This window comes from Homo sapiens, chromosome 1, assembly GCF_000001405.40.
Source record: "Homo sapiens chromosome 1, GRCh38.p14 Primary Assembly".
Classification (NCBI taxonomy): Eukaryota; Metazoa; Chordata; class Mammalia; order Primates; family Hominidae; genus Homo; species Homo sapiens.
In genome coordinates, this window is record NC_000001.11 from 16,926,218 (window position 1) to 16,953,155 (window position 26,938).

The 26,938-nt window shown below is 54.8% G+C and overlaps 1 protein-coding gene across 9 annotated transcripts in view, besides 2 other annotated features; it reads left to right on the forward strand.

Moving 5' to 3' along the window:
* The window catches only part of CROCC (ciliary rootlet coiled-coil, rootletin), a 58,880-nt gene that overhangs the window by 12,133 nt on the left and 19,809 nt on the right, over positions 1–26,938 (forward strand). For 8 of the 9 annotated variants that reach the window (XM_047435134.1, XM_047435120.1, XM_006711058.4 and 5 more), the window contains 17 exons: positions 3,629–3,814; positions 3,907–3,990; positions 4,069–4,130; positions 4,212–4,377; positions 5,074–5,180; positions 10,420–10,656; positions 11,424–11,520; positions 12,183–12,266; positions 12,692–12,925; positions 13,677–13,876; positions 17,883–18,065; positions 19,245–19,389; positions 20,042–20,188; positions 20,544–20,774; positions 22,114–22,307; positions 22,582–22,709; positions 24,736–24,905. In XM_047435134.1, coding sequence (XP_047291090.1) covers positions 3,629–3,814; positions 3,907–3,990; positions 4,069–4,130; positions 4,212–4,377; positions 5,074–5,180; positions 10,420–10,656; positions 11,424–11,520; positions 12,183–12,266; positions 12,692–12,925; positions 13,677–13,876; positions 17,883–18,065; positions 19,245–19,389; positions 20,042–20,188; positions 20,544–20,774; positions 22,114–22,307; positions 22,582–22,709; positions 24,736–24,905 — 2,655 coding nt within the window. The remainder of the gene's footprint in view (positions 1–3,628; positions 3,815–3,906; positions 3,991–4,068; positions 4,131–4,211; positions 4,378–5,073; positions 5,181–10,419; positions 10,657–11,423; positions 11,521–12,182; positions 12,267–12,691; positions 12,926–13,676; positions 13,877–17,882; positions 18,066–19,244; positions 19,390–20,041; positions 20,189–20,543; positions 20,775–22,113; positions 22,308–22,581; positions 22,710–24,735; positions 24,906–26,938) is intronic. The other variant, XM_047435136.1, reaches the window with a different exon arrangement.
* Positions 68–678: an enhancer, noted in NCBI's record as "H3K4me1 hESC enhancer chr1:17252780-17253390 (GRCh37/hg19 assembly coordinates)". NCBI's record gives its function as "activates a minimal SCP1, AML or CMV promoter by ChIP-STARR-seq in naive H9 embryonic stem cells {active_cell/tissue: H9 hESC(naive)}" and the evidence as "EXISTENCE:reporter gene assay evidence [ECO:0000049][PMID:30033119]".
* Positions 6,793–6,987: a silencer, noted in NCBI's record as "fragment chr1:17259505-17259699 (GRCh37/hg19 assembly coordinates)". NCBI's record gives its function as "represses an EF-1alpha promoter that drives an FKBP-Casp9 reporter gene in an ReSE screen in K562 erythroleukemia cells {active_cell/tissue: K562}" and the evidence as "EXISTENCE:reporter gene assay evidence [ECO:0000049][PMID:32094911]".

Sequence of the window (26,938 nt, forward strand, 5' to 3'; positions counted from 1 at the left end):
AGGGGTGGAACAGGAATGACCTCAAAGGCCTTTCCTGGAGGGTGGGTCCCCAGAGAACTTCAGAGCCTAGAGATCACCTCATCACAGATAGGGAAAGTAAGTCCGGGAGAGGGGCATGATAGGCCCAAGGTCAGTGGTGGTCCTGGGATGAGACCCTTGGTCCAGGGCTCTGCAGTTGGGCAACATTCTCTTTCCCTGCCACCCCCTTGTCCCCATGGCCACAGGTGGCAGTGCCTGCCCCTGTGGCCCTCACTGGCATGTTGGGCTGGGTTGGTGGGCAGTCAGCGAGATTGTTCTGATCTTTCCAACCCTGCAGCACCCCTGGCATGGGGAGCGGAGGGAGGGTCAGGTCTGTGTCCTGTTAACTGCATGTCCTGCAGGGAAACTGAGGCACTCCCAGAGGCCACCTCCCAGCCGAGAGAGAGGACCTCAGGGCCCCCATGGGGGTCCCCCCTTCTTGCTGTCCCTGAGAAGCAGATGTAGGCGCAGCTGGGAATGGAAAGGAGGGAGTGGTCACGCCTCCCTTGGCTCCAGAGGACAGACCCCCTGGGCTCCCTCGTGTCCATAGCAACCTGGAAAGAGTAAATTGAATGGCGGTCTGAGGGCAGCAGTTGCTAGGGGAGACAGTCAACTTCTTTCATCTCTGGCTTAGTGGCAGCCTCCTTCCCTTTTGAATTGCAAGTAAAATTGAAAGGCTGTTTTGCTCACGGTGAAGTTTGTGGAAAGGGGTGAGGTGTGGCCGAGAGGGCCCTGGCTCTGGTTCTGAGCACTGGAGAAGGGGGAGGAGAACCCAGCAACGGCCTGAACCCCTCTGTGTCCCAGAGGCAAACAGCACCTGCTTCACACAGATATGCAGTGTGTACACGACATGGGCTACACTGGGCCCCACACAGACACACAGATGCACAAAACATTCCACAAACAACATAGTGAGACCCTAAAACCAGGCCACACAGAAACACTCCAATTCACAGAATATGCACAGTGTTAGCCGCACACACAGCCAGATGCCACACAACCCCACACAGGCACAGAACAGTCCCCCCACCACCGGGGACCTATAACAACCATATGCAGATGACACAGCACGCTATCTCCCACCTCATGGGTGCACACGGACAGGAAAAGCATACAGTTCAACACAGCCACCAATCGGCCCACAAAGGTATGCCCAGATGCACAAAGTGTGTATCACACATACCAGGGAGCCCAGGCACACCCCCCAGACCCACCCACATGCGGTTGTACACTTGCCTCACCGACACACAGACATATACCCTGATACACACAGCCAGGCCCAACACCCGCGCCACAACATAGACCTTCAGCCACAGATGCCGCCTTAGCCGTTCACGGGAAGGCTCAGATGCACCAAACAGTCGACGTGAACTCAGCACCCACACACTACACACACAGTGTCCTGCGTGGAGACAAATGACAAAATACACCCCACTCGCACCTAGTGAGAGCCACCAACATCAGTGCACAGCCTGTGTGGCTGCCTCAGGCCACCGCCACCACACACAGATGTGGACACCGCTCACCATTGACCTCAGTGGGCTTGGCACAGACGCTTGACAGGCCTGCAGCCGCCATCCAGGCAGAAACCCCCTACTTCCACCTCCCCTGCACAGCCTTGGACTGTGTTCCTCCAGACTCAGGGGGAAGCCCCCAAGTAGTCACAGTTAGCTCCTCCCTATTGGTGGGGCTGCCATGCACGTGTCCCGGGGGTGGGGTGGGTAGAGATGTCCTTGCTTTGTCTGTGGCTCATAGAACATCTCTCAGCATATGGGGTCAATGCAGGCCTGGAGGGCACCTTCCCTACCGCTAACCTGGCCTGGACCCAAGACCCGAGATGAGCGTGGGTGAGAGCAGCTGCCCTCCTGTTGGCTTCCTGTGGCTGGCGTGGCCCTGCACGGGTGGGCTTTTGAATGCCCTGCCTGGGCTGTAGCAGGCCAGGTCCTGAGGATGCAGATGGTGAGTGCAGGGCTAGCATCAGAGTAAGCTGGGCTGGGGTGTTGTCGCTGCCAGGTGCCCTTGACCCACTGTGTGCTCTCCCACTGCCCTGCTCCTCCCTCACCTCCCTTCCCCCAACAGCTGGGGAAGATGAGGGGCCACCTGGGGCCAGCAGGTGCCTTAAGGGAGTTGAGAGGGTTCTATGGCTGGTAGGGACAGCCAGAGCCCACAGGGGTCTGAGGATGTGCGGGATGGAAGCTTCCTGGGGGTGGAGGAAGGGCAGCAGCAACAGAGGCTTTCCTGCAGTGAGGATGGAGGGGACCTTTTTTTTTTTAAGATGGAGTCTTGGGCCGGATGCTGTGGCTCACACCTGTAATCCCAGCACTTTGGGAGGCCGAGGCGGGTGGATTACGAGGTCAGGAGTTCGAGACCAGCCTGGCCAACATAGTGAAACCCCATCTCTACTAAAAATACAAAAAATTAGCCAGGTGTGGTGGCGTGCACCTGTAGTCCCAGCTACTTGGGAGACTGAGGCAGGAGAATCATTTGAACCCGGGAGGTGTAGGTTGCAGTGATCCGAGATCGAGCCATTGCACTCCAGCCCAGGAGACAGTGCAAGACTCTGTCTCAAAAAAATAAATAAATAAAATAAAATAAAAAATAAATAAATAAAGATGGAGTCTTGCTCTGTCGCCCAGGCTGGAGTGCAGTGGCACGATCTCGGCTCACTGCAACCTCCGCCTCCCAGGTTCAAGTGATTCTCCTGCGTCAGCCTCTTGAGTAACTGGGATTACAGGTGCATGACACCACGCCCAGCTAATTTTTGTATTTTTAGTAGAGACGGGGTTTCATCACGTTAGCCAGGCTGGTCTTGAACCCCTGACTTCAAGTGATCTACCCGCCTTGACCTCCAAAAGTGCTGGGATCACAGGCATGAGCCACTGCACCCAGCCAGAAGGGGGCATTAATATGCAGGCGCCGTATAGGGCAACACCTGTGTGCACCTCTTACAAATCTTAATGCTGTGTATATGAGGGGGTTCCTTCGTGTCCTCCGGGAATGTTTGAGGTTGCCTGTATGTGTTATGTGTGTGCATATCTTTAAGGTCAGATATGCATAGACAGATTGACACCTCTGTTTTGAATGTATTCCCATGAGCTCATCCCATTAATTCACTATCGCAACAAATATTTACTGAGCGTGAGCCATGCCATTCCACAGCCACCATTCTAGTACTAAGATACAATGAGGAACAAAAAATCCAGGCTTTCCTGAGCTCACATTGGGGTCGGGGCATGGTGGGAAGACACAGGCATCAATGTAATAAACAGAAACCACGACAGGGCTAAGTGTTCTGGAGGAGAGGCACATGGTGTACTGAGGCCCCTGAGGTTGACCCAGGTGCACCTTTGAGCTTTGCCTGCGTGGTTTGGGTTTGTGGGCTCACCTGCATGTGTCCATGCATGCCCCGTCTGCGTGCCCGTGCATGGCTGCATCACCCCATACACACGTGCACTGCCCCTGGGCTTGCCCACATGTGCTGCTCCCCAGGGCGCCAGGCTATCAGCCTACAAGGCATTGTGGGTCTGGGCCCAGCCTGCCACGCCCTACAGAAGCCTGAGCCTGCCTTCCCAGGAGGCCCAGGACTCTCACCCAGGGCCCTTCCCTGCAGCTGGAGCAGGCTCTGCGGCTGGAGCCTGGGGAGCTGGAGACGCAGGAGCCCAGGGGGCTGGTACGGCAGAGCGTGGAGTTGCGGAGGCAGCTGCAGGAGGAGCAGGCCTCCTACCGGCGCAAGCTGCAGGCCTACCAGGAGGGCCAGCAGCGGCAGGCCCAGCTTGTGCAGCGGCTGCAGGGCAAGGTCAGGACCACCCACTCCTGCTCCTGTCCTCCCACCTGTTCACTTTGCCCCGCCCCAACCCCTGGGGCTCACCATCAGCTCCCCATCCCCAGATTCTCCAGTACAAGAAGAGGTGCTCGGAGCTGGAGCAGCAGCTGCTGGAGAGATCCGGAGAGCTGGAGCAGCAGCGGCTGAGGGTGGGTGCCAGTGTGGGGCAGGGGCAGGCCCTGCCCTCCACCTGCCCAACCTGATGCTTTAACCTCTCTCCCACCCAGGACACAGAGCACAGCCAAGACCTGGAAAGCGCCCTCATCCGGCTGGAGGAGGAGCAGCAGAGGTGAGGGCGCAGCAGGGAGGGCCAGGGCTGGCAGGATGGCCCCCTGCGCGAGCGCCTACTGATCCCCTGTGCCCCATTCAGGAGTGCCAGCCTGGCCCAGGTGAATGCCATGCTCCGAGAACAGCTGGACCAGGCAGGCTCGGCCAACCAGGCTCTGAGTGAGGACATACGAAAGGTGACCAATGACTGGACACGCTGCCGCAAGGAGCTGGAGCACCGGGAGGCGGCGTGGAGGCGCGAGGAGGAGGTGGGCATGGGGGTGCAGGGAGGCCAGCCTGACCCAAGAGGAAGGGGCACTGCAGAGGAGGGAGGACTCAGAAGCCTGGAGAGGGAGAGGGAGCACTGTCCAAGGGAGCCTGTTAGCAGAAGTAAATAGCCGTCATCACAATAGCTGGTCTTTATCAGTGTGTAGCATGTACCACGTGCACGGTGTGCGTTGACCTTTATTCCTCATGATAACTGCATGTGGTAGGTGCTATCATTCTCCTCATTTTAAAGAGAGGTTAAGGCCGGTCGCAGTGGCTCACGCCTGTAATCCCAGCACTTTGGGAGGCTGAGAGATCGTGCCACTGCACTCCATCCTGGGCAACAAAGCAAGACTCTGTCTCCAAATAAGTAAATAAATAAAGAGAGTTTAAGTAACCTGCCCACAGTCATGCAACTGGCAGCTGGGATGCAAAGCTAGGTCCCTTGCATTTTTGCCCTTCGTTGCTGCCTCTTGCAGCCAAAAGAGGACTTGAAACCCAGGTCCCTGTGCAGGAGGGAGCCATGAGGCTTGGGAGGCTGAGCATGGCCGCTGCAACACAGCTCTGTGCACAGACCCACAGGAAGACCCAATCCCTGAACGACGGTGCCTCCCAGGATGGTCGGAGATGAGGGAAGCAGTGGGAGGGAGTAAACCCGCTCTCACACCAACCCTTCCCTCGGCATGTCTTCCCTCCAGTCCTTCAACGCCTACTTCAGCAACGAGCACAGTCGCCTGCTCCTCCTCTGGAGGCAGGTGGTGGGGTTCCGGCGGCTGGTCAGCGAGGTGAAGATGTTCACTGAGAGGTGAGGCCTGGCCGGGGACGGGGCAGCAGCTGAGAGCCAGCCCTGCTCTTTATGTCCAACTGAACTCAGTTGAATTTCAGTTCAACTCAACGCACTTACTGTGCACAAGGGCCGGTGAGGACACAGAGGCAACTTGTAATAACCATTACCACAGTCGTGGCAGTCAGCATTTATTAGATGTTTACTCTGGGCTAGGCTCATTGTATATTTCATTTCAACTAATATTCATAGCTTCCCTGTGAGGTAGGAACTGTGTTCATTCACATATTACAGATGAGGACATTGTGGCGCAGAGAGGTTGAGTGATCTTCCTGAGGTCACACAGTAGTACATAAGTGGCTGAGTCAGAGTTTGAAGTTCCTGATTTTTTTTTTTTCTCAGACGGAGTCTTGCTCTGTCACCAGGCTGGAGTGAGGTGGCACGATCTTGGATCACTGCAACCTTCACCTCCTGGGTTCAAGCAATTCTCCTGCCTCAGCCTCCTGAGTTGCTGGGATAACAGGCACATGCCGCCACACCCAGCTAATTTTTTTTTTTTTTTTGTATTTTAGTAGAGACGGGGTTTCACCATGTTGCCCAGGATGGTCTCGAACTCCTGAGCTCAAGCAATCAGCCAGCCTCAGCCTCCCAAAGTGCTGGGATTATAGGCATGAGCCACAGCGCCAGGCCGAAGTTCCTGATTTTAATCCACTAGAATATTCAGCTTTGCTACCAAGGACCTCACAGCCTCTTGTGATGAAAAGATGTAGATCCCCAAAATTCTAGGCTGGGCACGGTGGCTCACGCCTGTAATCCCAGCACTTGAGGAGGCCGAGGCGGGTGGATCACCTGAGGTTAGGAGTTCAAGACCAGCCTCAACATGGAGAAACCCTGTCTCTACTAAAAATACAAAATTAGCCGGGCATAGTGGTGCATGCCTGTAATCCCAGCTACTCGGGAGGCTGAGGCAGGAGAATTGCTTGAACCTGGGAGGCAGAGGTTGCGGTGAGCCGAGATCTCGCCATTGTACTCCGGCCTGGGCAACAAGAGCAGAACTCCATCCAAAAAAAGTAAAATAAAATTCTAGACTGAGGAAGCGAGTGGTCAGTGATATGTACGTGGAACAGAGGGAATGTCCTCGAGGCTCAGAAGGATGGGAGGGGTGGGGAGGTCAGAAAAACCACTTTGTGGAGATGGAATTTGCACAGAGCCTCAAGGGATGGGTAGGGTTGAAGCAGAGCAGCAGGCGCTCCAAGCAGGAGCAAGGCATGAGCAAAGGCATGGAGGTGGGAGCCCATGGCAGCCAGGGGGGTTGCAATGAAGAGCTGGTACAGGGAAAGGAGAGCCTGCCTCAGCGGGGGAGCTTGGGCCTGCCTGATCCGTGTGAGCAGTCAGCTCAACAGTAGTGTCAGGGAGGCTGCGGAGAGAGCCCCAAGGCAGGAGGCCAAGGTATTTCATTTAGTGCGTTAAAAACATTTTAGTTAGTAATCTTTTCTTTTCTTTATGGCTCACTACAGCCTCAGCCTCCTCGTCTCAAGCAATCCTCCTACCTCAGATCCTGTGCAGCTGGGACTACAGGTGCATGCCACCAGGCTTGCTGATTTTTTTATTTCTTGTAGAGTCGAGGTCTCACTTTGTTGCCCAGGCTGGTCTTGAACTCCTGAGCCCAAGTGATCCTCCTGCCTTGACCTCCCAAAATGCTGGGATTACAGGCATGAGCAACCACACCTGGTTTAATAATCTTTTGTTAATATCATCAAATAGCCAGTGTCTAAATTTTCCATATGTCTCATAAATGTCACAGATAGACCAGGTGCAGTGGCTCACGCCTATAATCCCAGTACTTCAGGAGGCCGAGGCGGGCGGACCACCTGAGGTCAGGAGTTCGAGACCAGCCTGGCCAACATGGTGAGACCCCTATCTCTACTAAAAATACAAAACTTATCTAGGTGTGGTGACACATGCCTGTAATCCCAGCTACTGGGGAGGCTGAGGCCCCAGACTCGCCTGAACCCAGGAGGCGGAGGTTTCAGTGAGCCGAGATAACACCATTGCACTCCAGCCTGGGTGACAGAGTGAAACTCTGTCTCGAAAAAAAAAGTCACAGATAGTCTTGCTTTAGTTTTTTCTTTACAATTTGTTTGAATCTCGATCCATAGACATTTACAAAACGTAAATGTTTGCTTTGTCTTTTTTTTCTTTTTTTTTGAGATGGAGTCTTGCTTTGTTGCCCAGGCTGGAGTGAAGTGGCACGATCTTGGCTCACCACAACCTCTCCCTCCTGGGTTCAGCAATCCTATGGCTTCAGCCCCCTGCGTAGCTGGGATTACAGGAGTGCGCCACCACGCCCAGCTAACTTTTGTATTTTTAGTAGAGATGGGGGCTTCACCATGTTGGCCAGGCTGGTCTTGACCTCAGGTGATCCACCTACCTTGGTCTCCCAAAGTGCTGGGATTACAGGCCCAAGCCACTGTGCCCGGCCCCTGCTTTGTCTTTTAAGTCCCTTTTAACTTATTTGTTCAGGAAACTGGGCTAGTTGTCCTTGGAGATTCTCATGGTCTGGATTTTGCTGGTTGCATCCTTATGGTGTCAATTAACATGTTTCTTTATCCCATGTATTTCCTGTAAATTGGATGTTGGATCTAAAGCTAGGTCAGATTCAGGTTCTTCTGCTTGCTTTTTTGTTTGATCAAGACTCCATAAGTAGAATGTGTTCTTCCAGCAGGATGCCCCTATGCCAGCTGTCTCTCTTTTCAAGATCCAACCCACTCATCAAAGGCTGCAAAACTGTGAGCTTCTCATTTAGTCACTCCTGTGTATATTAATTAGAATTCTGGAATGAGGCACTTTCTCTCCTTACTATTAGATAACCAGTGGTACTGTTCATTCAGGAAAGGAAAGGATTTAACCTGTATTATGGACTGAAAATACATTTTTTTTTTTGAGACAGTCTCTCTCTGTTGCCCAGGCTGGAGTGCAGTGGCACAATCACAACTCACATTAGGCTTGACCTCCCAGGCTCAAGTGATCCTCCCACCTCAGCCACCCAAGTAGCTGGGACTACAAGTGTGCACCACTATATCTAGCTAATTTTTGTTTGTTTGTTTTTAGAGACAGGGTCTTGCCATGTTGCCCAGGCTGGTCTTGAACTCCTGGGCTAAAGCAGTGCACCTGCCTTGGCCTCCGAAAGTGCTGGAATTACAGAAATGGCCCACCATGCCTGGCCTTAAAATACAAAACAAAACCAAAAATTTTAAGTAGCCTTTAAAATTTTTATATTTTACTTTTGATTAAGTCACATGTTCACAAGGTTCACATTTCAAAAGGGTACACAGTAAAATGGCTCCCTCTCACCTCTGACCCCAGATATTCCTCTTCCCTCCTTGGAGGCAAGCAGCATTATCAGCTTCTTTTTCTTTTTATATATACAGATTTTTTCTTTTTTCTTTTTTGCTTCTTCTTCTTCTTTTTTTTTTTGGCCACCAAGTTACCATGAGAAGCATTATCAGCAGTTTCTTTTTTTTTTTTTTTTTTCTTTTTTGAGATAGAGTCTTGCTCTGTCTCCCATGCTGGAGTGCAGTGGCACGATCTTGGCTCACTGCAACCTCCACCTCCCAGGTTCAAGCGATTCTCCCACCTCCGCCTCCCAAGTAGCTGGGATTACAGGCATGAGCCACCACACCCCGCTAAGTTTTGTATTTTTAGTAGAGGTGGGGTTTTGCCATGTTGGCCAGGCTGGTCTTGAACTCCTGACCTCAGGTGATCCTCCTGCCTCAGCTTCGCAAAGTGCTGGGATTACAGGCATGAGCCACCACGCCTGGCCTATCAGTTTCTTAAGTGACCTTCCAGGGTTATCTTACATAATCAAATAAAGCAGATCACACACACACACAGAGACACACAGACACATGCACACTTTTTTGCATATACGCCTGGTAAAATTTCATCTTCACAGTTCTTGAAGATGCTTCCCTAACCTACTAGTTATAACTGGGAGGTGGCTCTGTGTCAGGCCAGGAAGAACTTCTCCACTGGTTTTTTTGTTTTGTTTTGTTTTGTTTTGAGACATAGTCTCACTCTGTCGCCCAGGCTGGAGTGCAGTGGCCCAATCTCGGCTCTCTGCAAGCTCCGCCTCCTGGGTTCACGCCATTCTCCTGCCTCAGCCTCCCGAGTAGCTGGGACTACAGGCGCCTGCCACCTCACCCGGCTAATTTTGTTTTTGTATTCTTAATAGAGACGGGGTTTCACCGTGATAGCCAGGATGGTCTCGATCTCCCGACCTCGTGATCCGCCCTCCTCGGCCTCCCAAAGTGCTGGGATTACAGGCGTGAGCCACCAAGCCTGGCCTTCCACTGCTTTTTCTTGGCCACAGAGTGTTCCACAGAATGGATGTACCATCATGTACTTAGTAGCAGTCCCCTTTTGATAGACATTTAGGTTGTCACCAGGATTTCTTACATGAGCAATGCTGCAGTGAACCTCCTTGTCCACAAGCCATCTCCTCTGTGCTGGGGTATATCGTTGGATACGTTCTTAGAGGAGGAGCCGGTGGGGAAGGTCCTATGCATGCATAGTTTTCAGAGCTCTCCCTCAGTGCCCTCCGTTGTGGTTGTATCACCCTCCCACCAGCTGAGTAGGGGAGGGCCTGTTACCCCCAGAGCCCCTCCTTGTGTATTATGTATCCCTTTTTTTTTCCCCAATCTGAGAGTGGACAAATGGCATCCCAGTGTAGGGTTTTTTTTTTCTTCCTCTTTAGTTTTTGAGATGGAGTCTCACTATGTTTCCCATGCTGGCCTCAAACTCCTGGGCTCAAGCAATCCTGCCTCAGCTTCCCGCATAGCTGGGACTGCAGGTGTATGCCACCGCACCCAGCCTAGTATAGTTTTATTTTTATTTTATTATTTATTTTGAGACACAGTCTTGCTGTGTCACCCAGGCTGGAGTGCAGTGTCATGATCTCGGCTTACTGCAGTCTCCACTTCCTGGGTTCAAGCAATTCTCCTACCTCAGCCTCCCAAGCGGCTGGGACTACAGAAGTGCGCCACCATGCCTGGCTAATTTTTTGTATTTGTAGTAGAGATAGGGTTTCACCATGTTGGCCAGGCTGGTCTCGAACTCCTGACCTCACGTGATCTGCCCGCCTTGGCCTCCTGAAGTGCTGGGATTATAGGTGTGAGCCACCACGCCCTGCCCAAGCATAGTTTTAATTTGTAGTTGGGAGCAAGCCCCATCCATCCCCAGCCTGTGCTCTCTCCCGAAGGGACCTGCTGCAGCTGGGAGGGGAGCTGGCCCGGACATCACGAGCTGTCCAGGAGGCGGGCCTGGGACTGAGCACGGGCCTACGGCTGGCAGAGAGCCGGGCCGAGGCAGCCCTGGAGAAACAGGCCCTGCTGCAGGCCCAGCTGGAGGAGCAGCTGCGGGACAAGGTGCTCCGCGAGAAGGACCTGGCGCAGCAGCAGATGCAAAGCGACCTGGACAAGGCTGACCTCAGTGCCAGGTGGGTACCTGGTGGATGCCGCACGAGGCAGGCGTCCCTGCAGAAGGTAAAACTGGAGAGTTGGGGAGAAGGGAGCATCTGTTCACTAGGGGAAGGGCCTTCCTCTGTGAGCTCAGCCAGTCTTCCCATGCACTGAGGTTCCGAAGGCACTTGCCCAGTGTTTATCATAAACAGCTTAGCCTCCTATGGCAGAACTTGTGGCCGGGTGTGGTGGCTCACACCTGTAATCCCAGCACTTTGGGAGACCAAGGTGGGGGATTACCTGAGGTCAGGAGCTCAAGACCAGCCTGTCCGACAGGCAAAACCCTGTCTCTACTAAAAATACAAAAATTAGCTGGGCGTGGTGGCGCGTGCCTGTAATCCCAGCTACGAGGGAGGCTGAGACAGGAGAATCGCTTGAACCCAGGATGTGGAGGTTGCAGTGAGCCAAGATCACATCTCTGTATTCCGGCCTGGATGACAGAGCGAAACTCCGTCTCAAAAAAAAAAAAACAAAAAAAAAGAACTCGTGCCCCTTACTCCTGCCACCTGGACAAGTCCTCAACTGCTTTCCCATGAGATAAAGCTGGTGGGAACCTCATTCCCATTTCACAGATGAGAAATGTGAGATCTGGAGAGGAGCCGGGACTTGTCTGAGGTCACACAGCCAGGGAGGTGGATGTTAGGGTCCCTGCCTCGGGTTTGGAGAAGCATGGTGGACACAGAGCTAGTGGATTTGAGAAGCTGGGGTGGTCCCGTATTCACCTCTGTTGCTCCCCCAACTCCAGAGTGACAGAGCTGGGCCTGGCAGTGAAGCGTCTTGAGAAGCAGAATCTGGAGAAGGATCAGGTCAACAAGGACCTCACTGAGAAGCTTGAGGCCCTGGTGAGCTGCAGGTGCCCCTGAGATGGGGCAGGGTGAGATGGGGTACCGGCCAGATCCATGGACGCAGGCTTAGGGCTGGGCTGCCTGGGTCACCCCCAGCGTCCCACTCACACTCAGGTTCAGCCCTCACAGGTGTGCAGGCTTTGTGGGAAGCACACTCACCTCCATCCCATTTCTTCCTCCCAGCAGCCCTGTAGCATAATCCTCATAACACAGATGGGGAAACTGAGGCCCAAGAGGGGTAATGCTTGTCCAGTCTCAGAGCCACTAAGCGGGAGAGTCGGGACTTGAACTCCCATCCACGCTCTCCAGGTCCAGATGCGGCCTCTGGCAACCTAGCTGCCCCCCACCCCCACCAGTGGGACACTCACTCCCCCAGGGTACAGCCTGGTTTGGTCACCCCTCTGTGTGGGGCCTGGCCTGGGTTCTAGGTCCGGCTCTCCTGCAATCGACTGTGTGACCTGGGGCAGGACATAGCTCTTCTCTGGGCCTGGTCTGTTCAGTGAGGGCCTCGGGCCTGCTGTGGGGTCTACCAGGTGGCTGGCCTATGGACATGGCTTCAGAGGCCACCTGGTCAGTGGTGGGCCAGGTAGGGAGGGAAAGGGGAGGTTTCAGATAAGACAGAACCCCAACCACCCTTTGTCTCCCTAACCGCACTCCAGGAATCCCTGCGGCTACAGGAGCAGGCGGCCCTGGAGACAGAGGATGGAGAGGGGCTACAGCAGACCCTAAGGGACCTGGCACAGGTGTGAGCCCAGAGAGGCGGGAAGACAGCGCCCTGCCAGGCAGTCCCAGGCTCCCCCGCCACGTCTTTCGGTGACCTGGGACTGAACTGCAAATGGGTGGGGGCCTGGGACCCAGGCTGTAGCTGCTCAGCACCCCTGCTAGCTCACCCAGCCTCTGCCTTGGGGAGCCCCCAGTCTCAGAGGGGAGGCACGACCCTTTGGGAGCCCACCTGTGAGCAAGGCCAAATGATGTCTTCCCAATAAATGGGAGGCCTCAGCGGCGAGCCGAGGACTGAGCTAGTGGAGGAGGTGAAATCAGGAAGGCTTCTTGTAAGAGGCAGCATTTGGAATGAGGCAGCCCCCAGCCTCACCTGGGCGTCTTTGCCCAGCTAACCCCGCGGTTCCTAACTCAGCAGCCTCCTTCTGCCTCCCTCCCCCACCCTCAGGCCGTCTTGTCAGACTCTGAGAGCGGCGTCCAGCTGAGCGGCTCTGAGCGCACCGCGGATGCTTCCAACGGCAGCCTGCGGGGGCTCTCGGGCCAGCGGACCCCGTCCCCACCGCGGCGCTCCTCGCCCGGCCGAGGCCGTTCACCCCGCCGAGGCCCCTCCCCGGCCTGCTCAGACTCCTCCACGCTCGCCCTGATCCACTCCGCCCTGCACAAGCGCCAGCTGCAGGTCCAGGTAGGAAGGGGCTTGAGCGTTCTGGGCGCAGCCAGAGGCCTGGGGGAGGGGCTCGCGCCCTCCGGGTGGGGGCGGGGGCGGGGGCAGGTCCGGGGCCAGGGTCCGAGGGAGGAGTCTGAGCGCCCTGGGGTGCAGCCAGAGCCCTGAGAAATAGTTTCTGAGGGTGTCAGGACCCCCAAGGAGGTGGCCGAGAGCTCTGCGGTGAAGCCGAGCCCAGAAGTGGGGGTGCTTGGGCAGCTGGGGGTGGGTGCTTGGGCAGCTGGTGGAGGGAGGAGGCTGCGGCAGTGTTAGGGTCCTGGTAGAGAGGGAGACAGGTCCCTGGTCATACAGAGCCAGGACCCTGGGAAAAGGTCTAGCAAGGGGAATCAGAGCTTGGGAACTAGGGGCAGAGCCAGGGTAGGGAGGAGTCTGAGAGTGGAACCAGGATGCAAGGGGGAGGAGCCTAGGAGCCCTGGGGGTGGGATCAGAACCCAGGAGACGAGTGTGCCTGGGGGTTTGTCTGGCATCCGGGGGGCTTTGATAGGAGTTGTCCGGGACCCCAGGGAGGTGAGGGCTCAGAGGGTGGCGAGGGCACATAGGAGGGGAGCGGAAGCCTGGCTCTCAGGCCTAGGCCCCTATCCTGCCCCAGGCCAGGTCCAGGCCCTGGACCCCGCCTAGCGTAGGCTAGTGTGTATCCCTGGAACCAGAAGAGAGTAGGTGGCTCTGGAGGCCTCTCAGGCCCCCCCAGACTCTGTGACCCCCCACACCCCAGGACATGCGTGGGCGCTATGAGGCAAGCCAGGACCTACTGGGCACCCTGCGGAAGCAGCTTAGCGACAGCGAGAGCGAGCGGCGGGCCCTAGAGGAACAGCTGCAGCGCCTGCGGGACAAGACCGACGGCGCCATGCAGGCCCACGAGGACGCCCAGCGCGAGGTGCAGCGGCTGCGGAGCGCCAACGAGCTCCTGAGCAGGTGCCGGGGAGGTCTGAGCTGGGGGGTACTGAAGAATAAGTCACCGTCTGGGCATAACACCAGTCAAGCCTTATGCGTATGGCTCTGCACTAATATGGTCGCCACTAGCTGCATGTGCCTATTAACGTTTATTTATTTATTTATTTTTAAAATGGAGTCTCGCCCTGTCGCCCAGGCTGGAGTGCAGTGGCGCGATCTCGGCTCACTGCAAGCGCCGCCTCCTGGGTTCACGCCATTCTCCTGCCTCAGCCTCCCGAGTATCTGGGACTACAGGCCCCTGCCACCATGCCGGGCTAATTTTTTTTTTTTTTTTGAGACGGAGTTTCACTGTGTGGCCCAGGCTGGAGTGCAGTGGCGCGATCTTGGCTCATTGCATCCTCCTCCTCCCGGGTTTAAGCAATTCTCACCTCAGCCTCTGAAGTAGCTGGGATTATAGGTGCCCACCACCACGCCCGGCTAATTTTTTTTGTATTTTTAGTAGAGACGGGGTTTCACCATCTTGGCCAGGCTGATCTTGAACTCCTGACCTCATGTTCTACCCGCGTCCATCTCCCAAAGTGCTGGGATTACAGGCATGAGCCACCGCGCCCGGCCAACATTTATTTTTTAGTATTCAGTTTTGTTTTGTTTTGTTTTGTTTTGCTTTGTTTTGAGTCACACTCTTGCTCTGTTTCCCAGGCTGGGGCACAATTGGTCCATCACAGCTCACTGTAACCTGGAACTCCCAGACTCAAGCGATCCTCCCACCTCTACCTCCCAACTGCCCCTAGTTGGGGGCCTGGGCCTGGCCTGGGGAAGGATATGGGACCGAAGCCTGAGAGTTAGGTTTCCACTCCCTTCCTCTGTGCCCTCACCACCCTCTGAGCCCTCACCTCCCTGGGTTCCTGGGCAACTCTGATCTCAGCCTCGAGGATAGTAGACAAGCCGCCAACATTTCTAAATTTTTTGTAGAGATGGGGGTCTCACTATGTTGCCCATGCTGGTCTTGAACTCCTAGCTTCAATCACTCCTCCCACCTCAGCCTCCCAAATTGCTGGGATTACAGGCATAAGCCACTGTGCCTGGCTCTATTAAAATTTAATTAAAATTTTTAAAAAGTGAAAATTCAGGCTGGGTGTGGTGGCTCACACCCAGCTTGCTGGCCAACATGGTGAAACCCTGTTTCTACTAAAAATACAAAAATTAACCAGGCATGGTGGCATGCTCCTGTAATCCCAGCTATTCAGGAGGCTGAGGTGGGAGAATCACTTGAACCCCGGAGGCAGAGGTTGCAATGAGCCAGGATCGTGCCACTGCACTCCAGGCTGGGAGATAGAGCGAGACTCCATCTCAAAAAAAAAATAATAATAATAATGCTGGGCCCGGTGGCTCACACCTGTAATCTCAGCACTTTGGAAGGCCAAGGCGGGCGGATCATGAGGTCAGGAGATTGAGACCATCCTGGCTAACACAGTGAAACCCCGTCTCTACTAAAAATACAAAAAGTAAATTAGCTGGGCGTGGTGGCAGGCACCTATAGTCCCAGCTACTTGGAAGACTGAGGCAGGAGAATGGCCTGAACCCGGGAGGCGGAGCTGGCAGCGAGCCGAGATGGCGCCACTGCACTCCAGCCTGAGCGACAGAGCAAGACTCCGTCTCAAAAAAAAAAAAAAAAGAAAAAATTCAGTTCTTTAGTTGCCCTAGCCACATTTCAAGCACTCATCAACCATACATGGCCATAGAACATTTCTGTCATCTCAGCGAGTTCTATTGCCAGCACTATTTTGGACTGTATTTCTTGGAGTTTTTTTTAGAGATGGGGTCTTGCTGTGTTGCCCAGGATGGTCTCAAACTCCTGGCCTCAAGTGATTCCCCTGCCTCGGCCTCCAAAAATGCTGGGATTAGAGGCATAAGCCACCATGCCTAGCCTTGAAGATTTTTTTTTTCTCTTAATTTGAGACAGGGTCTTGTTATGTCACCCAGTCTGGAGTGCAGTGGTGCGATCTCATTTCACTGCAACCTCCACCTCCTAGGCTTAAGTGATCCTTCCATCTCAGCCTCCTGAGTAGCTGGAACTACAGGCACACACCACCACGCCTGCCTAATTTTTCTGTTTTTTGTAGAGATAGGGTTTCGCCATGTTGCCCAGGCTGATCTCTAACTCCTGAGCCCGTCTCGGCCTCCCAAAGTACTGGGATTATAGGTGTGAGCCATCACGCCAGGCACCCTGAAGATTTTTAAGACAAGAAATTATCCACTTCTTAGCTGCCAGGTTGTTTTTGATATTTTGTTGTTTGGTTTTTCTCTTCATAAATGTAACCATCTAATGAAAAGTTTGAAAAATAGGAATAAAAAGACAGCGCCTTCTCACAGCCTCATCTGCCCATCCTAATTCATTTAGGGCACTGGTTTTCCTTCCCATTGTGTTGCCTGGCAGTGAGATAGCAAACGTTTCCTGCACACCTACTGTGTGCCAGGCTCTTGGCCGAGTGTTTTGTATGTACTCTGTGATTTAGTCTTCCTGTCAAACTCATGCAATTCGGAACTCTGTTGTTGTAAGCTTGAGAGACTGGCTCAGACTCATACAGCGTGTGTGGCTGGGGGTGGCAGGGTGGGAACTGGAATTCAGGTCCATGTGAGAGTAAACCCAAGCTTTCCATGCCTGGAAAGGAGAAGGTCTTTTTAAGCAGTTGTGTTCACAGCAAACATCCCATTTTGCATTCTGCTATTTTTACTTAACAGCACATTGTCGACTGAGCGAGGTGGCTCACACCTGTAATCCCAGTATTTTGGGAGGCCAAGGCGGGTGGATCACTTGAGGTCAGGAGTTTGAGACCAGCCTGGCCAACATGGCGAAACCCCATCTCTACTAAAAATAAAAAAAAATTGGCCGGGCACAGTGGCTCACTCCTGTAATCCCAGCACTTTGGGAGGCCGAGGCAGGAGGACCACCTGAGGTCGGGAGTTCGAGACCAGCCTGACCAACATGGAGAAACCCTGTCTCTACTAAAAATACAAAATTAGCCATCCGTGGTGGCACATGGCTGTAATCCCAGCTACTTGGGAGGCTGAGGCAGGAGAATCGCTTGAACTCTGGAGGTGGAGGTTGCAGCAAGCCGAGATCGTGCACTGCACTCCAGCCTGGGCGACAGAGTGAGATGCCGTCTAAAAAAAAAAAAAAATTACTGGGCGCATTGGCTCATGCCTGTAATCCCAGCACTTTGGGAGGCCGAGGCGGGCAGGTCATGAGGTCAGAAGATTGAGACCATCCTGGCTAACACAGTGAAACCCCCATCTCTACTAAAAATACAACAAATTACCCGGACATGGTGGCGGGCGCCTGTATTCCCAGCTACTTGGGAGGCTGAGGCAGGAGAATGGCGTGAACCCGGGAGGCGGAGCTTGCAGTGAGTGGAGATTGCGCTACTGCACTCCAGCCTGGGGGACAGAGCGAGACTCCGTCTCAAAAAAAAAAAATAAAACAAAATCACGCTGTGAAGTTTTTTCGCACCTATGGCCAGTGGGGAACGTGGCAGCTCATGGCAAGTCTTTGGGGTCCCAGTTGTTCCCTTCTCCTCCCTCCCCTGCCGTGGCCACCATGTGCCTGTGTAGCAGGAAGCTGTGGGATCTGCAGACTCAGCTCTATCAGGCTTCCCAGAATTGAGGGGCATGGGGTGTTATAGGGGACATTTCCTGGTCACATGGCCTAGCAGAGCTGGTGGCACAATTGCCGTGTGTCCCAGGAGCCTAGCTCGGCCTCTTCTACCTGGTAGGGTGCTTGGAGATCACACCAGCACCTCCATCCACTCCAAGTGGGCGGACTGGAGAGAAGGAAAGCCAGGTTCTTCTGCTGGAGTGTGTGAGTGAAATGAGTCAGCCATGGACAGGGTGGTCAGGGAAGGCTTCCTGGAGGCAGGTGCCTTGGAAGACTGGAGGATGTAGCTCATGGCTAGAGGAGCAGCCAGCCACCTTCCCTGCAGAGAGCAGCCCCAGCATCCCCTCTGCTCCCCCTCCCCTTGTCCTGAAGGGAGAAGAGCAACCTGGCCCACAGCCTGCAGGTGGCCCAGCAGCAGGCCGAGGAGCTGCGGCAGGAGCGGGAGAAGCTGCAGGCTGCCCAGGAGGAGCTGCGGCGCCAGCGGGACCGGCTGGAGGAAGAGCAGGAGGACGCAGTGCAGGATGGCGCGCGGGTGCGCCGGGAGCTTGAGCGCAGGTGAGCAGCATCTCGCCACCCTGCCAGGACCCTTCAGATGTGCCTCGGGTCCCCTGACAGTGCCCCCCTGGGGTTAGGTGACACCCACTGGGTCCTGGGCCTCCTACCGTCTGGACCCCTCCGATGTCGGGTTTTCTAACCAGACCCATTTCAGGAAACTGGGGCTCAGGGAGGTATAGTCACTTACCTGGAGTCAGAGAACTAGTTAAAAGGTAGAACTTGGATGATAATAACAAGAATAATTAAAATAACAGTAGTAATATTAGCAGTAGTATTTTAAAAATTTAGTTAGAAGAATAATAATATCCTTACTAATTTCACTAAGTGCCAGATACCATTTTAAGCAATTCAGTTCTCTCATTTAACTCCATGATAACTCTGTGACATAGAAGCGGTTATCTCCATTTTGTGGATGGTAAACTGAGGCACAGAGAAGCCATGTCACTTGCCCCAGGTCACACAGTTAGCAGAAGAGCCAGGATTTGAACCCAGACATTCTGCCTTCAGAGTTAACCTCTTCACCACTGCGCTGCTTACCTCTCAGGGACGTGATCGATGATGATGTTTAGTAGACTGTGGTGGAGCATGTTATTCTTGTTTCTGAAGGTCCTTGGGGAGATGTGTCAGGCACTATTTTAAGCACATGTGAAGTTTGTATCCTTAAAACAGGCCGGGCGCAGTGGCTCACGCCTGTAATCCCAGCACTTTGAGAGGCCAAGGCAGGCAGATCGCCTGAGGTCAGGAGTTCCAGACCAGCCTGACCAACGTGGAGAAATCCCGTCTCTACTAAAACTACAAAAATTAGTCAGGCGTGGTGGTGAGCACCTGTAATCCCAGCTACTCGGGAGGCTGAGGCAGGAGAATTGCTTGAACCTGGGAGGCAGAGGTTGCAGTCAGCCAGGATCGCACCACTGTACTCCAGCCTGTGTGACAGAGCAAGACTGTGTCTCAAAAAAACAAACAATGTCACGAGGTAAGTGTTACCTCATTTTGCAGATGTGAAAACGGAGGCCCAGGGTCATGGAGCTAAGCGGTAGTGGGCTTGGTTGCCCTGTGGCTCAGGCTGTTTCTCTCCAAACTCCTGCCTCAGGCCTGGTCCCCAGCCCAGCATCTCGCTGGCTACAGGAGGTTCGGGGCAGGAAAGTGACATGGGCCACCCACCCACCCTTTGTCCCACAGCCATAGACAACTAGAGCAGCTGGAAGGGAAGCGCTCAGTCCTGGCCAAGGAGCTGGTGGAGGTGAGGGAGGCGCTGAGCCGCGCCACACTGCAACGGGACATGCTGCAGGCCGAGAAGGCCGAGGTGGCCGAGGCGCTGACCAAGGTGGGTCCCTGTCTGCTGCACAACCACAAACCTACCTCTGACCCCCAGCCCCAAGCCTTGTCACTCTGGCACAGACTGGTCCCAGTGTCAGGCAGACCTCTGAGCCTGGTCACAGACTGACCCCTTCCTTCTGGATACAGGCTGATCTTTGTCACAGGCCACAGACCTCTGGACCTCTGGTCCCAGCCATAAGTGGACTGACCTCTCTTTATGGCCGTATCCCTGCTCTTCTGGATGCTCCTGGGGGCAATGCCTATAGCTCAGGGTCATCCAGTGCCTGAGACTCAGCTCCTGGGGTCTGAGAGTTGTGGCCACAGCGCAGAGGGTCCTTGGCAGGGGGGCCTGCGCTGTCCGCTGCAGCCTGGGCTCTGAGCAGTGCTATCCCTAGACCCTACTCAGGGGATCCTCTGAACTCTGGCCCTGCCCTGCAGCTTGAGCTATTTTTGCACAGCTCTGTGGTGTGTGGCTTTTAAATGGCTCATAAGCAGCAGGCTTTCTGCGGTGATTTTTTTTTTTCCATCTCACACTGTGTCCCCTCCTTGTCTCCCCTACCCTGTCTCTGAGGGTCCATCTCTCTGGGTCTCTTCTTGGGCCTCCTCACCTCCTCCCGACCTTTCTGCCTTTCCTCATTTCTCGGGGCCTGACCCTGCAGGCTGAGGCTGGCCGCGTGGAGCTCGAGCTCTCCATGACCAAGCTGAGGGCAGAGGAGGCCTCCCTGCAGGACTCCCTGTCCAAGCTGAGCGCCCTCAACGAGAGCCTTGCTCAGGACAAGTTGGATCTGAACCGCCTTGTCGCCCAGGTACGCTGTGCACCTGCGGGCCCACCTGCCTTGCCCACCCATCCTCCCCACTCAGTGAGGCACCCCGGGCCCAGCCCTGTACCTGTCTTGGCCCCTGCCTCCCTTTCTGTCCCTGGTTCTCTGTCTGTCTCTGGTTCTCTGTCTGTCTGTCTATCCCCTCTAGGCGTCAAAGCACAGAAGTTCCATGGGCCCTCCTCATCTCCCCCTCCCCAGTGTCCCATACACCCAAGGGCACTGTCCCTCATTCCCTGGGAGCCTCCCCTGGGCTATTGTTGCTGGTGGGTGGGTGGAGGAGGCGTCCTGGTCCTGGGAGGGACGCCCTGCTCACGAGGCCCCACTCCTACCTGGCCTCCAGCTGGAGGAAGAAAAGTCCGCCCTGCAGGGCCGGCAACGGCAGGCAGAGCAGGAGGCCACAGTGGCGCGGGAAGAGCAGGAACGGCTAGAGGAGCTGCGGTTGGAGCAGGAGGTGGCGCGGCAGGGCCTGGAGGGCTCCCTACGAGTGGCGGAGCAGGCCCAGGAGGCATTGGAGCAGCAGCTCCCCACGCTGCGCCATGAGCGCAGCCAGCTGCAGGAGCAGCTAGCGCAGGTGGGCAAAGCTGTGTGTGGGGGTGGTGTGGAGAGCATGTGGGGCAGGCCGGGCTCCCAGCCCCCTGCATCCAGTCCTGGGTTAAGTCACAGGCACTGGAGCCTGCTTCTGGGTTAAATCCAGCCCCACTTCTGCTAGCTGGGGACCTTGGACAAGCTGCCCAATCTCCCATACCTCAGTTGCCCCATCTATAACATGGGGCCAGCCAGGCGCAGTGGCTCACGCCTATAATCCCAGCACTTTGGGAGGCCGAGGCGGGTGGATCACCTGAGGTCCGGAGATCAAGACCATCCTGGCTAACACGGTGAAACCCTATCTCTACAAAAAATTAGCTGGGCGTGGTGGCACGCGCCTGTAGTCCCAGCTACTTGGGAGGCTGAGGCAGGAGAATCGCTTGAACCCAGGAGGCAGAGGTTGCAGTGAGCCAAGATCATGCCACTGCACTCCAGCCTGGGCAACAGAGCAAGACTCCGTCTCAATAATAATAATAATAATAATAATAATAATAATGATACAGATTAATAATAGGTGGAGACTTTTTAGAATTGGAATCTTAGACTTTTGGGAACATCACATCTGGAAGAGACCTTAATGTTTCAGGGATCCAGGGACCTTCATGCAAGGTCTATCCTGGAGCGCCTAGGTTTCTGGGAGGGGCCTCTAGAGGATGGGGTAGGGGGTGCAGGAAGCAGGGTGCAGGTCTCCACCTTGAGGCCTGCCGAGCAGCTGCACTTGGGTCTGGTTTATATATTCAGCTTCTCTGCAAGTTTAGAGTAATACAAGGGTTCTGTTACTCCCAGAGCTGAGTGAGGGCCCTCATTTTTTTTGTTTCATTTTGTTTTGTTTTTGTTGTTGTTTTTTTTTCCAGACAGAGTCTTGCTCTGTTGCCCAGGCTGGAATGCAGTGGCACGATCTGGGCTCACTGCAACCTCCGCCTCCAGGGTTTAAGCTGTTCGCCTGCCTCAGCGTCCCAAGTAGCAGGGACTACAGGCGTGCACCACCACGCCCGGCTAATTTTTGTATTTTTAGTAGAGACAGGGTTTCACCCCGTTGGCCAGGCTGGTCTTGAACTCCTGACCTCAAGTGATCCACCTGCCAAAGTGCTGGGATTATAGGCACGCACCACCGTACCTGGCTGGGCCCTGGTTTTTGTACACACGTGCATTGCAGATCTAGAGAAGGTCATGACTTGCCCAAGTACATGTAGCACATCAGGGCAGACCCTGGGCTCAAACCCAGGCCTTCTGCCAGGACTGGGTTAGGCCCAGAGTTGGGGTGCTGCACGATGAACAAGCTGGGGGACGCTGGGAGTGCTACTCAGTCTCTGGGTGGGGGCCAGCTCTCCCGGCAGCTGAGCGGGCGGGAGCAGGAGCTGGAGCAGGCCCGGCGGGAGGCCCAGCGGCAAGTGGAGGCGCTGGAGCGAGCGGCCCGTGAGAAGGAGGCGCTAGCCAAGGAGCACGCTGGCCTGGCTGTGCAGCTGGTGGCTGCGGAGCGTGAAGGCAGGACCCTGTCAGAGGAGGCCACACGCCTGCGGTAAGGCCTTGGGCTCTGCCCAACCCGCCCTGGGGGGTCCTCCTGGGGCCACACCATGACCAGCCACACGCAGGCACGGGCCCCCAGGGGCAGTTACTAAGGAGTCTGGCTTGCCGACTCGTCCTAGCTGTGGCTCAGGCTTCCCCAGGGAGTGTGGGCCTGGCCAGGCAGGTAGATTGGCACTTGGCCCATGCCTGGCCACTCCCTGAGATCCACAGTTTCCTGGGGCCAGGGAGGCTGAGTCCCAGGGCCTCAGGGACTGTATGTGCTGCAGCTTGGAGAAGGAAGCCCTGGAGGGCAGCCTGTTTGAGGTGCAACGGCAGCTGGCCCAGCTTGAGGCCCGCCGGGAGCAGCTGGAAGCCGAGGGGCAGGCCCTGCTGCTGGCCAAGGAGACCCTGACTGGTACGAGGGGCTGGGGACTTGGGGGGAACACCAGGTTCCAGCCCAGACTGCAGCCTCCCAAGGTCTGGGGTCTCACAGAAGTTGGGAGCACTGGAGTAGGAGTCTGGCTGGCCTGGGTTCCAGTCCTGTGCCACCACTTAGATCTCACCTTCCCTTGAGCAAGCCCCTTTCCTCTCTGGGCTGCAGATTCCTCAGCTGATGATTGGAGGTGGCAATGCCCACCTTCTAAGCCTGTTGCCAGGATGACGTGGGAAAAGCGTGTAAGGCCGTGGCACGGTGCCTGGCTGAGTCAACAGTAACTGCCGTTCATCGGTCATCAGGCCTGTTAGTCTGAGTTCTCTGTGCTTTTCAGATGACTCTCTTGGCCCCAGAATCCCAGCCCCACTTCCCTGCACCGTTCCCATCCAGTCTCTGAACTCAGGGCTTCTTTCTGCTCACCTAACATTAACTAAGCACCTACTTGGGTCATGGAAATTAATTTTCCTGTCCATGTACACCTGAGCCAGACAGAACCAGGAAGGGAAATGCTGGTGGGTTTCCAACCCGGGAGATGGTTTTTAGATGGTAGCTATACCATTTCCATTCCCTGTAGTCATTTCCATTAATATAAATAGTTAACGTTTGACGGGTATGTTCATGTCAGTCATTAAAGGAGATGCTTTATGTGTAGCTGTGCAGCTGTGGGAAGTTGCTGCTGATCTCTGAGCCTCCATTTCATCATCTGTTAAATGGGGATGAGGATAAACTACATAGGCATGTTATGAAGACAAAATGAGGTTATGTCTAAAATACTTAGCTGGGCGCTTGACCCATAGTAAGTGCTCAGTCAGGAATAGGGTTGTTTTTTGTTTGTTTGTTTTGAGACAGAGTTTCACTCTTGTTGCCCAGGCGGGAGTGCAATGGCACTATCTCGGCTCACCTCAACCTCTGCCTTCTGGGTTCAAGCGATTCTCCTGCCTCAGCCTCCCAAGTAGCTGGGATTACAGGCATGCATCACCATGCCTGGCTAATTTTATATTTTTAGTAGAGACGGGGTTTCGCCATGTTGGTCAAGCTGGTCTCGAACTCTTGACCTCAGGTGATCCACCCGCTTTGGCCTCCCAAACTGCTGGGATTACAGGCATGAGCCATCACGCCCAGCCTGTTTGTTTTTTGAGACAGAGTCTCACTCTTGTTGCCCAGGCTGGAGTGCAATGGTGCGATCTCGGCTCACTGCAACTTCTGCCTCCTGCATTCAAGCGATTCTCCTGCCTCAGCCTCCCAAGTAGCTGGGACTACATATGCCCGCCACCATGCCTGGCTAATTTTTGTATTTTTGGTATAGACAGGGTTTCGCTGTGTTGGCCAGGCTGGTCTCAAACTCCTGACCTAAGGTGACCTACCTGACCCAGCCTCCCAGAGTGCTGGATTACAGGCATGAGCCACTGCGCCCGGCCTATTTGTTTTTTTGAGGCAGAGTCTCACTCTTGTTGCCCAGGCTGGAGTGCAGTGGTGCAATCTCAGCTCACTGCAACTTCTGCCTCTTGGGTTCAAGCGATTCTCCTGCCTCAGCCTCCCTGAGGCTGGGACTACATACGCCTGCCACCACGCCTGGCTAATTGTTGTATTTTTAGTAGAGACAGGGTTTCACCATGTTGGCCAGGTTGGTCTTGAACTCCTGACCTAAGGTGATCCACCTGCCCCAGCTTCCCAAAGTGCTGGGATTACAGGCGTGAGCCAAGGCACCTGACCTAGGGTTGTTATATGTTTGACATCCGTCCCATTTGGGAGGCCTTCTCATCAGTCATTTTATGCCTTTAATGCCATTCTAGGTAGGCAGGAAAGGGGTCAGGGCCAGTGGGCCCATGTAGCATATAGGGAAACTGAGGCCCAGAGAGGGCAAGCCACTTCAAGAGGACCCAAACTAGATGCCAGGCAGGCCCTCTGCCTCTGGGATTTTGCCCATGTGGCTCACCTGGCCTAAGTCTGCTGGCCCAAGGAAAAGTTTCAACCCAACCCTGCCCTTTCCCCCATTCCTCTCGTGCAGGGGAGTTGGCGGGCCTGCGGCAGCAAATAATAGCTACACAGGAGAAAGCCAGTCTAGACAAGGAGCTGATGGCCCAGAAGCTGGTGCAGGCTGAGCGGGAGGCCCAGGCCTCTCTGCGGGAGCAGCGGGCAGCTCACGAGGAGGACTTACAGCGACTCCAGCGTGAAAAGGTTCAGGCAGCTGGGGAGGGGTGGGCAGGACTCTGAGCCAGTGTTTCATCATCGTTCTTGCTCTGCCTCGGTCTCTACATCTGTGAAATGGGACTTCCTCTCTGTTGTGGAGGTCCTGGGGACAGCTAGGAGGACTGGGGGGATGGGGAGGTTGTGGTTCTTATTAGACATGCAGATTCCCAGGTCCCAAATCTGGTCCAGCCCTGGTAATCCTGATGCAGAGGGTCCACAACCACATTTGGGAAATACTGACCTAATGTACAGCAGGAAAGCACTTTCATTTGCTAAGAAGTACTGTTTGCATATGAAGAGCCACTCAGACCTCAGCATATAGAAAGGCAAGGGGCCAGGGAAGTTACTAGAACACTGACTCTGGGTTTGAATTGCCTGGGTTTGAATCGAATCTTGGTCGCTTACTGGTGATGCTACCCAAGGTGTCCGTGCCTTCATTTCCCCACCTGTAGAAATAGGGATAGGATAGTGAAAGGTATTGAAGATGAGCTGAGACCATCTGCATAGAGGGCTTAGCATAGTGACTGGTACTTAGCAAATGCTCCATAAGTTATGATTGCTGGCACTGACATGCTCTCCAGAGTGGCCCTCGGGACAGGGGCCCTCAGCCACCAAATCCTAGACAGGGCTGCCTCTGACAGAGGTGCAGGCTATGACTGCATGGCTCCAGGGCATGCCACTCACCCTGCAGTACCCCTGGCCTTGGGTGGTTGTTACCACGCTTCTCCAGGAGGTGGCGGTAAAGCTCTTTTTTTTTTTTCTTTTTTCTTTTTTTGAGACGGAGTCTTGCTCTGTTGCTTAGGCTGGATTGCAGTGGCGCAATCTCGGCTCACTGCAACCTCCACTTTCTGGGTTCAAGCGATTCTCCTGCCTCTGCTTCCTGAGTAGCTGGGATTATAGGCGCGCCACCACGCCTGGCTAATTTTTGCATTTTTAGTAGAGACGGGATTTCACCATATTGGTCAGGGTGTCTCGAACTTTTGACCTCGTAATCTGCCCACCTCGGCCTCCCAAAGTGCTGGGATTACAGGCATGAGCTACGGTGAAGATCTTAAAGAAGGGGCGGTTTGGCCGGTCGTGCTGACTCATGCCTGTAATCCAGCACTTTGGGAGGCCGAGGTGGGCAGATCACCAGGTCGGAAGATCGAGACCATCCTGGCTAACACAGTGAAACCCCATCTCTACTAAAAATCACAAAAAATTAGCTGGGCGTGGTGGCACGCGCCTGTAGTCCCAGATACTTGGGAGGGTAAGGCAGAAGAATCGCTTCAACCTGGGAGGCAGAGGTTGCAGTGAGCCAAAATCTCGCCACTGCACTCCAGCCTGGGTGACAGAGCAAGACTCCGTCTAAAAAAAAAAAAAAAGAAGTGGCAGCTCTGTCTGCTTCTCACAGAGTTGCTAGGGGCAAGTGCTGAGGCAGGCACCTGCCCTCAGGCTCCCCAGGTGGGCTGCTATTTGCCTGTGGGCTCTGCCTGCCCGCCTGTCCAGTCCCCAGGGATCTGAACTCCTGTGACCTCCCCCTTGCTCTTCTTGCCCTTTGCATTGCCTGGCTTGGCCTCATTAATGTCCCCAAATCTGTGTTCTCTCCAGCTCCTCTGGCAACCCCTGACCCCCTTCATTCCTCACAGCCAGTCCTAACTCCCCTCCATCCCAACCCCAATCCCTCTTCCACAGCTGTCGGAACATCCCCTAAGCTAAAAATCAGATTGCTCCTTGTCACCTTGGCTCGAGTCCTCTCTCCCACTCCCCTCACTGTCCTTAGAATCCCCATGGCCCACACGGCCTGTCCTGGCCCCACCCCTGCCTGGGGCTCTGGCCCTGTGACTCACCATGTCCCGTTCCCCTCTGCACCCTGCATCCTCTAGGCCTTTCCAGGGGCTGTGTTCTTGGCCTGGGGTGGTCTTTTCTCTCCTTACCTGGCTGACAGTTACTTGTCCCTCCGCAGGGGACCATGTTCGGACCCCCAGGCCAGCCCACTGCTGCTCCTTGGCACTTTCACGGCCCTGGCGTGTCCCCGTCAT